This window comes from Homo sapiens, chromosome 3 (genome assembly GCF_000001405.40).
Source record: "Homo sapiens chromosome 3, GRCh38.p14 Primary Assembly".
NCBI classification, from domain to species: Eukaryota; Metazoa; Chordata; class Mammalia; order Primates; family Hominidae; genus Homo; species Homo sapiens.
This window is the reverse complement of record NC_000003.12, coordinates 164400738-164420372: the sequence shown is the minus strand read 5'-3', so window position 1 is coordinate 164420372 and position 19635 is coordinate 164400738. Positions and strand designations below refer to the sequence as shown.

Sequence of the window (19635 nt, the reverse complement as noted above, 5' to 3'; positions counted from 1 at the left end):
AAAGAAATATACTTTTTAACCTATCGCTCCGTCTAAACACTGTAGTTTCCTCATGCTCCTCATAGCCAGGTATTTTTAAATGTCTCCTTTTTTTTTTTTTTTTTTTTTTTTTTTTTTTTGCTTTTCATCAACTCCTAAAATATCTGGAAATCTGACTTCTGCCTTCAGTCTAATCTCATTAAAACTGATCTTGCTAATATCTACAGTTACTTTTCAGTATTTTATTTGACCTCTCCTTCAAGGGTGACCATATAAAGTATATAATTTCTCTACAGAAATGCTATAGGTGAGTGAGTTAAGGTCTCAAAAGATAAGGATAAGGTTTATCTTGAGATGGAAATACAGATTGATGAAGTTGAAAGAACACTGAGTTTTATGCCATTTTAATTTTATACTTCACAACTATTAGTGTGTAAATTTTTTTTGCTATTGAGTTTTTATTTTCTCACAATCATTTCTTCAATCTACTCTCTTCCCATTTCAACCCATAGCTCAGGTTGCATTTTTTTCTACCAGAGCTTAAAAGACTGGATTTGCTGTTGCCTCAGCAATGTGACTTTGGCCAAGTTACTTAACATCTCACTGCCTCAGTTTCCTTAATTATAATATGGGGTTAATAATAATTATTTCTGTGTCATTGTGAGGATAAAGGTGCTTAATGTCTGTGAAGTAGTTAAAACAATAGACACTGACCAATAGAACAAAATAGATTCCAGAGGCAGACTCATACCTATATAATCAAATGATTTATTACAAAGGCAAGAGTAAAGTCATGTACAGAAATATTTTCAAAAAATGATTGTGTTAGTTAGATAACCCTATCTAACACTGTAAACACAAAATAATTCCAAACTTATCACGGGTCTAAATGTTAAAAGTAAAGCTATAAGACTTTTTAAAGAACACATTGGAGAGCATTCTTGTGACTTCAGTGTAGGCAAAAATTTCTTAAACAGATGCACAGAGACACCTAGTGTGAACAAAAAACAGAAAGAGATAAATCAGATATATTAAGATTAAGAAATTAGGATTACCAAAAGTGGCCAGTAAAAGAGTGAAAAGGCATCCCAAAGAGTGGTAAAGATACTCAAAATACATACATCACATCAAACAAACATACTTGTAACCAGTACATTATAAAAGATTATGCAAATCCATAAGACAGATAATCCAATAGGGAAAAAATGAGCAAAAAGTTCAACTTACACTTTACAAAAGTGATGTAAAAGTAAAAACATATGAAGCTAATTTACACTGTTGGAGAGGAGTGATTTACATTGGTGAGCATGTAGAAGGGATAAGTAGCAACAGAAAGGGAAGACAAAAGAGACTTGTAGAGCCTGATAATGTTCCATTTATCTGGTTCTGATTACATAAGTCAGTTTGTAGAAACATGATCAAGCTGTAGACTAGTGACATGCTAGCTTCATATATTTCTATAAATATATACATACTTGTATGTATGTTTTAAAAGTAGCACATAGTAAACACTACACAAATGTCAGCTGTATCAGTGGTCACATTTTTAATACCTTTCTATGAACATAGCAGACCAGTTTTCTACTTGGTTTAGAAAGTGATCTTTAGAAGTAGGATTTATTTTTGCAATTCTTTTTCAGGGTAATACTCTTTGGTTCTTTATGGTGCAGAATTTTTATAGATCTCATGTTGATTTTTTCCTGTTTGCTCATCCTTATACAAAGGAACATCTGCTATTCTGGGCACTTGCCAACAGCAGGGTGTACTGACTGCACTTGACCCCCACTTACTGTCCACATGAGTGCTCGTAGACCCTCCCACATGGATGTAAAACAGAGAGCAGGTTGACACAGCTCCTAGTTTAATTTGTGGAGTCTTACAGGGATTCATGTAGTGCTTTTCTATCAAATTGAAGGGCATCCTTTTCTGCTTCAGTACCCCATACTCTGAAACACAAGGAAAACAATATATGTCCCATATCAAAGGCTTTCTTTCCAAAGTGTGTTTCTTAGAGGCAAACAAGTATTCATTCAAAAGAGGCACTTAAAACTTTTTATTGTATAAATGGTGGTTCTGCATACAAGTTGATTTGAAAAAGAATCAAAGAATACAATTCCTAGGAATGGTTTCAAAGGAACAATTTATAGATAATATATCTGTAACTACACCACAGGAAAGTAATAATATGACTCATAAACCTTTAATGCCATAATGGCCTGTGAAGGAATTCTACACTTCTTTCCTTGACTCTGAAGGCCCTTTGCAATCTTGCTCAATCTACTTTGTATCTTATTTCCACTCACCATGCATCTTCTCCTCTGGTCAAATCTAACTAACTCTATTCACCACACATGCCATACTATTTCCCAGACCTAAGATTCTGTATAATTATTATCTTTCCACCTAGAGAAGCCTTCCTCCAGATATCCACATTTTCACAAGCTAAATATATTTTAGGGACTAGTTCATTTGTCATCTATGCTAATGACACATTTCCCTCTTCTGAATGTCTAAAACATTTTATCTAAACATTGTTTTGGTTGTTTTTTAATGGCACTTCAACATAGTATAACAGTTGTTTAAATATGCATTGCTCCAAAGGCAAGATCATCATCCACACAACTGTGTATTATATTCTTCTCTTCTTACACCACCATACTGTCTTATATTAATATTATTTGGATAATCAATATTGACTGCATTATCTATAAATATATTATGGCATTTGACTGACCTAGTGTCGAATTCCACTCTTTATATTTGTAGCTGTGTAATCATGGGTATGTATTTATCCACTCTATTCTGTACACTCATGAAAATGATTAGTGGAAAATAAGTTATGCAGTATATCTACAAAGTCTTGCAATAAAGGCACACAATAAACACTTCATAAATAGGAATCATCTAAATTTAAATTCTCAATAAAGATTTTAGGATACCAGGATAAAACGAATCAGGTTTTTCTCCCTTCCTTTTTTATATATTGCCTAAACAACATTATTACTGCTTATTCAGTGTCTTTAAATTTTTCTCATACTCTAGCAATTTGCCTCTTTCATTTCCAGAAAAAAAAAAGTCCCTGAAGCTTTTGGTCTTTGGCCAATGTGACCAAAAGTTCAAAAATAGTTCAGAAAGTATGGGTCTATGATGTTTTTCCTTCAATAAAACAGCAAGTGCAACTTTAAAGAAAAACTTCTACACATTTTCTGAGAGGGCAAGAGCTCAGACAGCCTGCCGAAGAGTTTCACGTGTATCTATAAAGTTTTGCACAAGGATTGAAAAAGATTAAACAGTAGCTGCTTTGCTAAGAGTATTACATTCCAAAGGAATTATGCTCATGAAATATTTGTAAATTCCCTTTAAAAAGAGTTACAAAACACTGAAAAACTTTATTGTACTATTAGAACTTACAAATTGACAGTGCAAGGCAATCATCCTGTGATGTGCAGTCTGTGATTTGCAGTTCTGGCCATTAAAAGAAGCTCATGATGTTAAGGCCTTTAGTCTTTTTTAAATCCAGTCATTCCTGTTTTCTTCTCTAGTCTTGTGTAAATGGAAGGTTCTGACAAGCTCTCAGGATTCAAGAATTGACCCTGGCAAACCTACATCTGCATCTGTTTCAATTTTGGTTTGGTGACTGAGTTTAAGCACCTTCTGTGGTTCCAGAGACAGCCTTCCTGGACTCTCTATGGAATGTGGATTGCTGGTTGTTCTTTCACATTTTAGCGGTTGCTGTGGTCCTATTTAAACTGAGATAGTATTTTGCAACCAAGTATTATGTAAAGAATATCCCCATGGGCACTACAATTCTTCAACATGGAGCTTTGTTTACCCTTTAAGAGCATCAAGAGTAAGCAAATGAGCCCCCCTCTGTAAGTCCATAAACAGATTAAAGAAAAACATGACAATTTTAATAAAAAACAGCAATATGACACAAAACTGATTAGCATGAGAGCAAAATCCAGCTTAAAAACATAACTTTTCAACCAGATTTGTGTGAACTTACTCTCTAGGTGTGTACTTTTTCAATGTAAAATCTTTACTGTTTATTTTTAAAGTACAAGTTAACCTAACCTATAAATATTGTTAATATTAATGTTAATTAATTATTTTTTAATTAATTAATTAAGGTAAGGACTCACTCTGTCACCCAGACTGGAGTGGAGTGGCACAATCTTGGCTCACTGCAACCTCCACCTCCCAGACTCAAGCGATCCTCCTGCCTCAGCCTCCGGAGTGGCTGGGATTACAGGCGTGCACCACTACTGCCTGGCTAATTTTTGTATTTTAGTAGAGACAGGGTTTTACCATCTTGGCCAGGCTGGTCTCGAAATCCTGACCTCAAATGATCCACCCACCTTGGCCTCCCAAAGAGTTGGGATTACAGGTGTGAGCCACCACGCCTGGCCTAATGTTAATTATTTTAATTATTTTAAATATATTTTTAGAATACAAGCTTTCATTGTTCTCTGAATTCAGTTGTCCAACAAATCTGGCTCAGACTCTTTTCATTTGTTATTTGGATTACCGCAACTATTTCCTAGTTTCCCTGTCACTAGTATCATACACTTCAAATTTCTTTAACAGTGATATTCCGAAAAAGCAAACATTATCAGCGATTCCTTACTGTAAATCATTTAATCACTGCTCGCTTCAGGATAAAATTTGCACCACGATGTATCAGACATTCAGGACCTGAGACCCATTAATTTTCCTTTCCAATTTAAACCTTCTCCCCAAATGCATCCCTACTCTCACAAACTACTCTTCATTTCTAGAAAGATCTACCATCTTTCTTGGCACAATTTTGGATTGGTATTGACTTTGCTTAGAATGCTCTTGCTTTTTATAGCTGTGTATCCTTCTTAGTTAATGTATTAGTCAGGGTTCTCTAATATCCTATGTTTTAATATATATATGTGTGTGTGTATATATATATCTATATAGATAGATAGATAGATAGATATCCTATTAGTTCTGTCCTATATATATATGAGTTTATTAAGTATTATCTTACATGATCACAAGGTCACTCAATAGGCTGCAAGCTGAGGAGCAAGGACAGCCAGTCTGAGTCCCAAAACTTAAGAACTTGGAGTCCGATGTTTGAGGGCAGAAAGCATCCAGCACGGGAGAAAGATGTAGGTTGGGAAGTTAGGCCCATCACTCCTTTCATGTTTTTCTGCCTGCTTTATATTCGCTGGGAGCTGATTAGATATTACCCACCAGATTAAGGGTGGATGCGCCTTTCTCAGCCCACTGACTCAAATGTTAATCTCTTTTGGCAACACCCACACAGACACACCTAGGATTAATATTGCATCCTTCAATCCAATCAAGTTGACACTCAGTATTAACCATCACAGTTAATCATTATGATTCTTCTTGTGTTACTTTCAAGAAGTATTCGCTGGCCCACCCAGATATACAATGTATAAATATTGTACCATTGTTATAAATATGGGTAAGTCACATTCATGCTTTCATTTACCTAATGTAGTATTGCTTAAGGGTTTGAGCTTTATTTAGTAATTTCAGTCTAATTCATTGCTTCTGCCTCTTCAAATCCCACAATGATGAAATCTTTCCTTTCATTCCTTCTTTCAAGATATGTGTGTATATCAGTTCCGAACATATTTTTAAGATCTACTACTTCTAACCAAACAAAATTGAAAGGTATTAACATCATTATCATCATCATCAAATATCAGCATGTAGTTATAAAAAGACAAGCTGACCCCAGATTAGCTCTCTTCCACTTGATAAACTAAATGGAGAAGATACTACCTGGGTTAGTAAGAGTTTAATATATCCCGGGCATTGTTGTAATATAATTATAATATATTCAGTATACATAAATTAATTCTCACATTAATGGCATTAGGTAAGTAATATTTTCTCTACTTTATAGATGAAGTATAGGGAGGTCAAGTAACTTGCCAAAAAGAATCATGAAATGAATACATAAGAAGTCAAGATATAGAAGCAGGCATTTAACATTATACTATCCTGTCAGAAAACAGACAATGGGGACTACTAGAGAGGAAAAGGAGGGAGGGAAACAAGGGTTGAAAAACTATCTATTGGATATTATGTTCACTACCTGAATGACGGGGTCATTCATACTTCAAACCTCAGCATCATGCAATATACTCATGTAACAAACCTGCACATATATCTTTTGCATCCAAAATAAAAGTTGAAATTTTAAAAAAGCAAAGGGGAAAATAGAAATGGAAAAAAACAAGTAATTGGAAAAAAATACCATCCTGATTTTTAAAAAATATTTTTCTCTATAATGAGAACATGTTGAGAATGTATCCTGAAAATTGTAAAACACACCTCCAAATAGTATTAGTAAGAAATATATTATTACGAGAAAAAAACTTGTGTTTCTCTAAAATTATTCTGAAGGTAATCAGCATAACCTAATTAAATATTAATTCTTAAAAGTTAAAAGTGCAAAGAATACACTTTTATATGCACAATGTTTCAAAACAACTTATTGATTATACACTGCAAATTAGATTTGAGAATTTAGTTAATAAACTATTTTTCTTTTCTTCTGTCAAACATGCTATTGAAAATAGAATCCTGGTCATCTATAGGAATTCGGTGGAGATATCCAAACAAAGTATTAGCTATTAATATTCAATGCTCTTTTAAAAGGATTCATATCTGGAGTACAGAAATTGACTAAATGAGGTTTACATGGTTTTCTGAATATAACATGCTATTTTTCTACCATGCTTCACTACTTGATTAAATGATTTTCCTAAAAGAATATGCCCTGAGCTTAAGTGAGAAAGTGCTTACAACAAATTGCCAGTGATATAACTCAAAAGCCCAGTGATAAGCTCCCAGCATCACCTCCACATTAATGTGAAGATTCAGTTCCTTAAGAGATTTTCACTGTCCAATTGTAAAACCCACCAGCTAGAAATCTGCACTGATGGAAAACGTGTTCTGTGAAAAGCCCTTTGAGACTGGAAGATCTCAATGGTAAATTATTAGGTATTACATAAGACAAAACTTGCCAAGAAAAGACACAAAATTAAGAAGAGATGAATCTATGTATGGAGCTCAGTTTTCTTCCTAGCACTAATTATAAACTTGAAAATAAAAAGGAAGTGGACATAATGACATCTACAGAACTCTCCACCCCAAATCAAGAGAATAGACATTCTTCTCAGCACCACACAGCACTTATTCTAAAATTGACAACATAATTTGAAGTAAAACCCTCCTCAGCAAATGCAAAAGAAAGGAAATCATAATAAACAGTATCTCAGACCACAGTTCAATTAAATTAGAACTCAGGATTAAGAAACTCACTGAAAACCATACAACTACATGGAAACTGAACAACCTGCTCCTGAATGACTACTGGGCAAATAACAAAATTAAGGCAGAAATAAATAAGTTATTTGAAACCAATGAGAACAAAGCCACAACGTATCAGAATCCCTGGGACACAGGTAAAGCAGTGTTTAGAGGGAAATTTATAGCAATAAATGCCCACAGGGGAAAGCAGGAAGAATCTAAAATTGACACCCTATTACAATTAAAAGAACTGGAGAAGCAAGACCAAACAAATTCGAAAGCTAGCAGAAGACAAGAAATAACTAACATCAGAGCAGAACTGAAGGAGATAGAGACATGAAAAACCCTTCAAAAAAATCAGTGAATCCAGGAGCTTGTTTTCTGAGAAGATTAACAAAATAGATAGCCTGCTATCCAGACTAATAAAGAAAAGATAGAAAAGTCAAATAGACACAGTAAAAAATGATAAAGGGGAGATCACCAATGATCCCACAGAAATACAAACCAATATCAGAGAATATTATAAACACCTGTACACAAATAAGCTAGAAAATCTAGAAGAAATGGATAAATTCCTGGACACATACACCCTCTCAAAACTACACCAGAAAGAAGTCAAATCCCTGAGTAGACCAATAACAAGCTCTGAAATTGAGGCAGTAATTAATGGACTACCAACCAAAAATGTCCAGGACCAGACACATTCACAACCGAATTCTACCAGAGGTAGAAAGCGGAGCTGGTACCATTCCTTCTGAAACTATTCCAAACAATAGAAAAAGAGGGAATCCTCCCTAACTCATTTTATGAGGCCAGCATCATCATGATAGCAAAACCTGGCAGAAACACAACAAAAAAAGAAAATTTCAGGCCAACATCCTGATGAACATTGATGTGAAAATCCTCAATAAAATATTGCTAAACCGAACCCTGCAGCACAATAAAAAGCTTATCCACCACAATCAAGTTGGCTTCATCCCTGGGATGCAAGCATGGTTCAACATAGGCAAAGCAATAAACACAATCCATCACATAAACAGAACCAATGACAAAAACCACATGATAATCTCAATAGATGCGGAAAAGGCCTTCAATAAAATTTAACACCCCTTCATGCTAAAAACACTCCATAAACTAGGTATCGATGGAATGTATCTCAAAATAATAAGGCTATTTATGACAAACCCACTGCCAATATCATACTGAATGGGCAAAAGATAGAAGCATTCCCTTTGAAAAAGGCACAAGACGAGGATGCCCTTTCTCACCACTCCTATTCAACATAGTATTGGAAGTTCTGGCCAGGGAATCAGAAAAGAGAAAGAAATAAAGGGTATTCAAATATGAAGAGAGGAAGTCAAATTGTCTCCGTTTGCAGATAACATGATTGTATATTTAGAAAACCCCATCATCTCAGCCCAAAAACTTAAGCTGATAAGCAACTTCAGCAAAGTCTCAGGATACAAAATCAATGAGCAAACATTACAAGCACTCCTTTACACCAATAATAGACAAACTGAGAGCCAAATCATAAGTGAACTCACATTCACAATTGCTACAAAGAGAATAAAATATCTAGGAATACAATTTACAGGAGATGTGAAGGGCCTCTTCAAGGAGAACTACAAACCACTGCTCAAGGAAATAAGAGAGGACACAAACAAATGGGAAAACATTCCATGCTCATGGGTAGGAAGAATCAATATCATGAAAGTGGCCATGCTGCCCAAAATAATTTATAGATTCAATGCTATTCCCATTAAGCTACCATTGACTTTCTTCACAGAATTAGAAAAAACTACTTTAAATCTCACACATGGAACCAAAAAAGAGCCCACATACCCAAGACAATCCTAAGCAAAAAGAACAAAGTTGGAAGCATCACTCTACCTGACTTCAAACTATAGTACAAGGCTAGAGTAACCAATACAGCATGATACTGGTACCAAAACAGATATATAGACCAACGGAACAGAACAGAGGCCTCAGAAATAATGCCACATATCTACAACCATCTGATCTTTGACAAACCTAACAAAAACAAGAAATGGGGAAAGGATTCCCTATTTAATAAACGGTGCTGGGAAAAATGGCTAGCCATATACAGAAAACTGAAACTGGATCCCTTCCTTACACCTCATACAAAATTAATTCAAGATGGATTAAATATTTAAATGTAAGACCTAAAACCATAAAAACACTAGAAGAAAACCTAGGCAATACCATTCAGGTCATAGGCATGAGCAAAGACTTCATGACTAAAATACCAAAAACAATGGCAACAAAAGCCAAAATTGACAGATGGGATCTAGTTAAACTAAAGAGCTTCTGCACAGCAAAAGAAACTATCATCAAAGTGAACAGGCAACCTGCAGAATGGGAGAAAATTTTTGCAATCTATCCATCTGACAAAGGGCTAATATCCAGAATCTATAAATTTACAAGAAAAAAACAAGCAACCCCATCAAAAAGTGGGCAAAAGATATCAAGTGACACTTCTGAAAAGAAGACATTTATGTGACCAACAAACATATTTAAAAAAAAGCTCATAATCACTGGTCATTAGAGAAATGCAAATCAAAACCACAGTGAGATACCATCTCACGCCACTTAGAATGGTGATCATTAAGAAGTCAGGAAACAACAGATTCTGGAGAAGATGTGGAGAAATAGGAACGTTTTTACACTGTTGGTGGTAGTGTAAATTAGTCCAACCATTATGGAAGACAGTGTATTGATTCCTCAAAGATCTAGAGCTTGAAATACCATTGACCCAGCAATCCCATTACTGGGTATATACCCAAAGTATTAGAAATCATTCTACTATAAAGACACATGCACAAGTATGTTTACTGCAGCACTGTTCACAAAAGCAAAGACTGTTACTTTAATGTTTACTTTAATGTTTAATGTTTACTTTAATGTTTAATGTTTACTTTAATGTTTAATGTTTACTTTAATGTTTAATGTTAAAGCCCATTACTGTTAGATTGGATAAAGAAAATGTGGTATATATACACCATGGAATACTATGCAGTCATGAAAAAGAATGAGTTCATGTCCTTTGCAGGGACATGGATGAAGCTGGAAACCATCATTCTCAGCAAACTAACACAGGAACATAAAACCAAACACTGCATGTTCTCACTCCTAAGTGGAAGTTGAACAATGAGAACATATGGGCAAAAGGAGGGGAACATCACACACCGGGGACTGCCAAAGGGTGAGGGGCAAAGGGAGGGATAGTGTTAGGAGAAATACGTGATGTAGATGACGGGTTGATTGGTGCAGCAAACCACCAGGGCACCTGTATACCTATGTAACAAACCTGCATGTTCTTACATGTATCCCAGAACTTATAGTAAAAATTAATAATAATAAAAGAAAAGAAAAGAAAAGAAAAAGAAAAAGAGGAAAGAAGAGAGGAAAGGAGGAACAGAGGGAAGGAGGGAGAGAGAAATTAGTTAACTTAAAAATTTCAATTAACTTCAAAACCTTAGTTAGCAAACTGGCCAACCTGAAAATTTTGTGTCTTGTTTGTAATTTGATCCGTTTGAAAGTGCTGATAGCCAGACTTTCAAAATCCATTTTAGACATGTCTGTCTGACTATTAAACTTAGCAGGTATTTGAGATCCATCAATCAGGTACAATAAAACTTACTTTTACATTGTAATTTCTGGAAGGTTTTCTTATGTATTGTCAAATCAGCAAAGCTGTTCTCCCAGACTCCTGGGCAAGCCAGTTCAAGCTCTGAGATTCGGGTGTGATAACCAGACATGCCCTCACTTAGCCTTGATAGCTTTGGTTTTCTCAACCAACCTGGGGAGGAGAATGTTAAGGACAACTTCTCATGCTTAGCAATTATAAAGTGGCAGTTTATAAAATTATAAACTGATGGTGGTAATTGTCAGCAGCAGCCTGGAAAAAAATAGAGCACCAATAGCCAAAAAACATATTTTTCAGTTTCTTTAAAATTCTTACATGTGATATCTGTTTCATAAATTCACAGCTTGAACATGTAGTCTTGTGTTCATTGCTATCACTACCTCATAGTCTCAGAAAGCTTTTTAATATTTACAGGGAATAATCTTATTTTGTTTCAAATGGGTGTGTATATATTACCTGTATATGCATATATTTTGTGCTTACATAATCTTCTTCCTGTTCATTCCCTTAATATTTTTAGCCTCAACGTGTACACAAAGTATAGAAAAGGTGTTCTACCAGTACCAGTACTTGGAACTATTCATTGAATTAGTTACCTGCCTTTTGTTTTTTCCTCTTTTGACAATGCCTCTATGTTAGGAAAAATATTGGTTAGAGAGATACTGTATTAAGCTAGATTTGATGTGAATTTACGAGACAGTGAAAAGGAGGTATATAATAATTTGAAAAGTGTTTAAAAAGTAATGTTTACATATTGAATAACCTGTTCTTTTATTTTCAGATTCTGGATTAGAATGCCTCAACATAGAATAGAATACTACTATGTCACCACATTCCAAGATGTCTCATCATTTGTATTATTTGTGCCATGTGTATTTATTTATTGGAATACTTAGCATATTTTAAATAAAAGCTTAAAAGGAAGTTTGACACTAGTAAAATATTAGTCATCTCAAGGGCTTGCACTAATTGGACTATATATCCAATCATATAAAAAAAGGTATTGAGAAAGATCCTGCACCTGGGCTCTATTGCTTGTATCAGTTAAGTCCTTTTAGTACTTTCTGAAACTGAACTATACCCGGGCTCCTTAGAGCAGGTCATCAGAGATGTAAAGATACCTTCTCACTCCTGTGAATTCACACCTACCGAGGAATTTCTTGAACTAGCAACTTTTGAATTTATGTTCCTCTTGAAATACCAGTGCTGCTGCCTAAAATTCCCAGTGCCTCCATATTTAGAAACACATCTTCACTAGACATGGTTTGGAATGTTCCTGTCCTCCTTGCAGTAAATCTGCCCTTCCTCTCGCTCACAATGCCTGCCAAGAGGCCACATTTGTTTAAACCTTGTGCTTCCTTAGCCCAGTTCCTAAGAACCAAAGTTAGACAGCTAATTCCAGGGAGTTCATCATCAGGAGAACAAAATACTATGTCTTATAGGACGTGGATAATCAATATCCTTCCTGGAAAGGTGAAATTTGGAAACAGGGACTATTTTCAAGACAGCTGTGAGCAGCTGAGCTGAAATGTCATGTAAAGCCTAGAACTGAGGAAGCCCCTTTGAGCTATCTGCACAAGAAGCTATCTGCACAGGGTTCTGTTGAGGCTGGGCCAGGGCAATGTATGATCGATCTAGAGTGAGAGATCAGGACTCCCATTCCAGTTCTGTCATTGAAAGTGTTTATTTAGAAAAATTGATTATCCTCAGAATTTCAATTTTCTCTCTCTTAAAGAGGTGATATTTACACATGATTGGCAGGGTTGCTCCAGAATCAAGGAAGAAAATGTTTCTGGCCTGTACTAAATACCCAAAAAAAAAGTAGTTATTAATATTATCATCACTCTAATGCCTATTTCTTTGTTGATTCTGAGGTCCCTGATGATAGAGCTCATGGCTTGTTCCTCTTTGCATTTGCAGAATCTCTCTCACAATACCTGGAACCGAGGAGATGTTGCATATTTATTCGCTGCTTTTAATAGAACTGCCCCAAACAAAACTAGGACTTAATGTCAGTGAAGTGGTAGTAACAGGCCAGATGGGAGAGGTTTATGAGACTGGGCGTGTTGGGAAAATACCAGCCACACAGAAAACTGCAGGCAAGTCCAGGAAATTCATATAGAGACATAGGTCACACTATTGAGAGGGAGCCACTCACAGAAATGGGAAGTAATCAACTCACCTAAGTTAGTGAAGACCAGAAAGGAAAAAGAAAGCAAGTATGTCACAGCTAGAAAGCTTTGATAGCTATCAACTTGGGACATACAGTAGGTAATAATGGCCCCAGGAAAATCTTTTAGAAGTTAGCATACAGTTACCAGATAAGATAGAAAATGCCCAGTTAAATTTGTTTCTCAGGTAAACGGAGAATAATTGTTTTAGTATAACTAGGTCCCATACAACACATTCTCTCTCTTAATTCTTATAACAATCCTGCCAAGTGTGTGTAAGTATAATCCTTTGATGAAAGAGGTAATTGAGATTCTAAGGAAAATCCTATGTAGTAATTGGGACATAATTAAACACAAAGAAATTATGTGTTGCTTATCTGAAAATCAAACTTAACTGGTATCCTATATTTTATTTGCTAATCTGATAAATTAAATTAGTGTGTGAAGGTTAGGATGCAGGTAGGATTCCAGGCTAAAGTGATATGTAGTCAAAACTTGATTGACTTCAATCAGTTATTACTCACACTAGCTATGTACTCTGGATCCATGGCCCCTATATATAGCAACCTCATATATAGCAAAAAACTAGATTACTAAGTAGTCACATAGAAAGTAATGCGAAGATGCTCTTCTCAGATTTCCAATACCTCAATAGGCCTGTATCTGATACTTGGGCACTTCTTACCTTCAAGAATCCGGGATCTCCTATTTCCCTTTAAGTAGGAAATGAAGTGGAGCTAATGCCTAAGTCAAGGACAAATCTGAAACTGGATATGGGAAGGACCAGGGCCAGGAATCCAAGCATGTTTTCTTTTTTAAAAATAATGTATTTCCTTGTTTCATATTGTATTTAATTCTGTAAACTGTCTCAAATTCGTGCAGGACATAAGCTCAGGTAAATCCTAACAGAATAAATAAATGGACAAGCAAAATCTTGTCCAAAGCAAGGCAATTATCAGAAAACTAAGATAAGGCACCCAGCCATATTCTAAAGAGCAGGTTGCTTTGCTTTCTACCTCAGTTAGCAGCCTGCAGCTCCTTTGCCCCTTTAAATTAACCCCGTGATATCCTTGGCAAATTAAATTTACATTTCCTTTTTGGAGCTTCTTTTTGGACACTGGAAGATAGGTATTCTAAAGACCAGTCTGAGTTAGTGTAAATAAACCAGGCTTTGGAAAATATATTAATTGGAGCCACTTTTTTTGAAAATTATTTTTGACTCTTTCAGTTTTTCTTACTTTAACCTCATTCTGCTTAGTTTTTTGTGGTTTCTTGTTAATAAGAGGTAATATGAGTTAATTTCCACAACATTTCCTAAGGTGGGTGTGGGGAATCAATTTAAAGAAATATTTTTAAAGAATGTTATTTTGTGAGTTCCAGGACTTTTCAATAAGGTGATAGTAGAAAATACTATTTTTTGCTGATTAGGTTCAGTGTTATACACCATAGGCTTGTAATAAATGCAGAAATACTTTAGTGACATGTAGTAAAAAGCTTGACAGTTCAGTCAGTTACTACTCGCACCAGCTAGACTGGATCTGATGCCCACAAAGCACAATGATTTACTTAAAATACTACTTTTTGGTGACTACCATTATAAAATGAAATATTTTTATTTTTTTTCGTATTGTAATAAGTCTCTGTGTATGTCTCCTATTCCTGTCCATGAGGTCCACATAAAGATTGAGGAACATCTCTTTCAGTGTCATAAGGAAGGAGAGATAATAGTAGGCATTTTAGCACAGCATAATTTTGGGTCTTTGTGAGAAGTTACAGTAGCACTAGGTACAAAATTGTGTCAGTAAAAACTCAGGATCCATTTACTTCTCAAAAATACAAGTACTAAGCTCATTCAAATATTAAAAGAATGAAATAAATGGCTGGGTTCTCTGTTTACTCCATGCTGTCCCTGTTCTGTCAATAATGCATTTATTCTTTTTAATATTCTATTTGAAATACATTGACACTTTAGGAAAATGCTCTCATACTATGATACTTTTCAATGAACCAAAGTCGCCCAAATTGCCTTTCCTGACATATTTATTAACTAGTATTCCCTTATTTTACCTTTACTGTTAGAAAAGAACAGATTCATCTACAATATGATGTACATAAGGAGGAAGATGGAAAGAGGAGGTATCATTTTTAATAACTTCTCATATTATTATTAACCAATTACTCCATAAACAATTATCTGCATAATTAGAAGGACCTGCAATATGATCAGGGTAGAGTTAATTTATAACTACCCAGGACTACAAATGGCTAAATACCAAATAAGAAGTCTCTCCCCTCTTCTTTGACTTCTAGTATTCTCAAATGGTGTTGACTATGCCAGAATTTTTGCTCATATCAAACTCAGAAGTCCTCCTTTTTCAAAAATAAAAATTATGAAAGATGTAAAATAAACTTGCTTCCTTATTTGATATCTCCATTGTATTGATCAGTGTTCTACTGCAAGAAAGGAAAATCACTCTGGCTAGTTCAAACATAAGGAATTTATCATTGGTATTAAATGGCTTGCAAAATGCATGCAGATGTTGTTTAAAACCTACACTATAGAACTGGGTTATCAAGGGAACTGGAATTTGCTTTCACAATAATGAACCAGTCATAAGAGTGAGTAGCCACAATCCAAAGGCTACATCAGAAATGCAAACATTTCCATCATAGGACTTACCAACTGAAGCTGCAGAAGTCTCAGAAAACACGGTTTTCATATACAGTATTTTACACAACTACATCTTGTAAATAAAAATAAAATACATTCATTCAGTTATAAGAAAATTAGAGTAATGCAATTCTTAGTTTTCCATATTTAGCACTTTAGACAGTTCACCATAAGAAATTGATGGTAAATGCTATACACTTCCCTGGCCCATCTGGCCACTAATTATCCTAACATGCCTTTCTATTTATATGCAAAATCACAAACAATAACACCAGCAGTGAGAATATGTTCCCATTCAACATAATACACTTATGCCCCATAAAAATGAAGAACTTACCCTCTACCTGCAGAGAAAGGATCCAACTTTCCAACCATTAGTATACCTGTTTCTGAGTGGTACTCATTCCTTTCATAATTAAATCAATATTCCTATCTTTATATTCTATATTAAATGAGCTAAGTTTAAAAATGATTCACCACCAAGACCTGTATGTAACATAAAATATTAGAGAGAGAAGGAAATAAGGACTTGTATAAGATAGATTAATGTATGGATGGATAGATAGATAGATAGATAGACAGATAGATGACAGATGACAGACTGAACAATATAGTATGGGTAGCAAATAAAATCCTTTTTTTTGTAACAGGCCACAATGCTGTACTTTGTATCTATAATTTCTTTCTTTCACTGCACATTTTATGTGTCCTTTTCCTTGAGTAAAACCTCAGTCAGTTAATATTCTTCAAATGGGATGCACCAACTATTTATTCCTGCATATGTCAAACTTTTGGAAATCCTACTATTGTGTAATAGTAATCTGACATCAATTTTCCACAAGAGACATGCTAGTTGGAGCCTCTTTGGAAGGTTTCTGAGTTTCAGACACACTCAACCCATTGTATAAGGGTCCCTTAAGAATCTGGATCAATCCTTCCAGGATCATAGTAAAGCCTTTATTTGCCTATTGATTCTGGGTTATGAAGAGCCAAAATGGTCAGGTGTCTGTCTTTCAGCTCCATGAAACAATCACTATGTCTTCTAGTAAATGCATTCTCCTCTTATGCACCAAGAACACTAAAATAGCAGAGGATAAATGTTGAAAGATAGAAACATTTCCCTCATGAATCATTTATTATAATTGTGAAAATAGCCAAGTCTTTACTTCCAGGCTCCAAGTATTCCGACTGCAGCATAAATGACAAAATAGATTTTTCAGACATATACTACCTCTTGAAAAACAGAGAGTTGAAACAGATGCCCATGCATTAGATACTGTAAAATTTAAATTCATCAACTAATGTGAAATTGGCTTTAATGGTAATTGACATCTGTTAAAAGCAAAATTTTGAAATGCTACTCCAGCTTGAATACTGCTGAGAAAGATATTTCTGAGTAACATACCATCAGAATCCACAGAAAAGTTGTCCTTCTCATAAACTTTATCACCAAAAGATATGTCTGCCCTGAGTTTCATGCTGTTTATAATAGAAATGCCAAAAACTACCAGGTATCCCCACACATACACTCTTAACATCTCCAAAACCTGACTATATCCCCACAGAAACTCTTTTCATTTCAGCATTTGAAAAGGTATCCACCTCCAGCCATAAATCTGAAAGTCTTTTTGATAAATAAATTTTCTTACCTCCACCCCCCCTTTCATTCAAATAAGTCTCCAAATTATATCTATATGTTACCTAAATATATGTTATCTAAAGATCAAGTCAATCCACCTTTTCTCACCTTTCAAGCCTCATCTCTTCCCGATCATGACCATCTCTTATTCTAAACGACTGCTTGTTTTCTGTCAATTTTATTATAAAATGTTACTTTTGCAACAACCTAATACATCCATTTTCATCATCTGGTTGATTAACGTTCTACTTCCAGTGTCTAAACCACTTTTCTTTACACTTACAAACTCCTAAACTTTACCCCTCTACACCAAACTCCCTTCTCCATAACCCCAACACACACAGACACACACGTACCTGGCTCACATCATTCTACAAATGTGCCCATTGAACATGGCTTCCTCCAGGCAATCTTCAATGACCTCCTACAACCAAGTGAGGTGGTTTTGAGAGGTGACAGCGTGCTGGCAGTCCTCAGAGCCCTTGCTCGCTCTCGGGGCCTCCTCTGCCTGGGCTCCCACTTTGGGGGCACTTGAGGAGCCCTTCAGCCCACCGCTGCACTGTGGGAGCCCCTTTCTGGGCTGGCCAAGGCCGGAGCCGGCTCCCTCAGCTTGCAGGGAGGTGTGGAGGGAGAGGCGTGAGTGGCAACTGGGGCTGCGTTCCCACTCGCTGCGTTCCCACTCGCTGTCAGCTGGAGTTCCGGGTGGGCGTGGTCTTGGCGGGCCCTGCACTTGGAGCAGCCAGCCAGCCCCGCCGGACCTGCCGGCCCTGGGCACTGAGGGGCTTAGCACCCGGGCCAGCCGCTGCAGAGGGTGTACCGGGTCCCCCAGCAGTGCCAGCCCACCGGCGCTGCGCTTGATTTCTCGCCAGGCCTTAGCTGCCTTCCCGCGGGGCAGGGCTCGGGACCTGCAGCCCGCCATACCTGAGACTCCCACCCCCTCCGTGGGCTCCAGTGCGGCCGGAGCATCCCCGACGAGCGTCGCCCCCTGCTCCACGGTGCCCAGTCCCATCCACGGCCCAAGGGCTGAGGAGTGTGGGCGCACGGCACCGGGACTGGCAGGCAGCTCCACCTGCAGCCCCGGTGCGGGATCCACTGGGTGAAGCCAACTGGGCTCCTGAGTCTGGTGGGGACGTGGAGAACCTTTATGTCTTAACTCAGGGATTGTAAATACACCAGTCTGGCACTCTGTGTCTAGCTCAAGGTTTGTAAACACACCAATCAGCACCCTGTGTCCAGCTCAGGGTTTGTGAGTGCACCAACCTTTGTATCTAGCTCAGGGATTGTAAACACACCAATGGGCGCCCTGTCAAAACAGGCCACTAGGCTCTACCAATCAGCAGGATGTGGGTGGGGCCAGATAAGAGAATAAAAGCAGGCTGCCCGAGCCAGCAGTGGCAACCCGCTCGGGTCCCTTTCCACACTGTGGAAGCTTGGTTCTTTCGCTCTTTGTAATAAATCTTGCTACTGCTCACTCTTTGGGTCCAGGCTGCTTTTATGAGCTGTAACACTCACCGGGAAGATCTGCAGCTTCACTCCTGAAGCCAGCGAGACCACGAGTCCACCGGGAGGAACGAACAACTCCAGACGTGCTGCCTTAAGAGCTGTAACACTCACCGCAAAGGTCTGCAGTTTCACTCCTGAGCCAGTGAGACCACGAACCCACCAGAAGGAAGAAACTCTGAACACATCCGAACATCAGAAGGAACGAACTCCAGATGGGCCACCTTAAGAGCTGTAACACTCACCGCGAGGGTTCGCGGCTTCATTCTTGAAGTCAGTGAGATCAAGAACCCACCAATTCCAGACACAGTTTCTCACTGGGTCTCACAACGTCATGTCCCCCTGCATTATATCTGTATTTTTACTCAAATTTATTTCTCATACTACCTTTTGCTATAAGGCTGGTGGAGCAGGTATTAGCCATGTTCACAATTGTTAATTTGGACTTAATGTAGATATACAATAGCAAACATTTTTTAAATCAGGGAAATGTATAATTAATCTTTATGCCCACAAAGTGTGAATACACAACCATTATGGATGGATTTTTGTCATCAAGATAAAAATCTCAAAGGTAGTGTTTCATTAAAAATTAGCCTTTCAATCTGCTGTGACATTAATGGGGCGTTGTAGGAAAATTGTGATTGATGCCTCACGCTATCAGTGACTACAGCGGTTACCTAAT

At 36.9% G+C, this 19635-nt stretch overlaps 1 long non-coding RNA gene across 1 annotated transcript; it reads right to left on the bottom strand.

Annotated features, from left to right (window-relative positions):
- Window positions 1-724: 724 nt before the first annotated feature.
- LOC105374190 (uncharacterized) lies at window positions 725-17911 on the bottom strand. Its single transcript, XR_924658.3, has 3 exons — window positions 17807-17911; window positions 1770-1925; window positions 725-970 (listed from the first exon to the last, which is right to left on the bottom strand). It is a non-coding gene; the product is annotated as an uncharacterized LOC105374190 (long non-coding RNA).
- Window positions 17912-19635: the final 1724 nt, after the last annotated feature.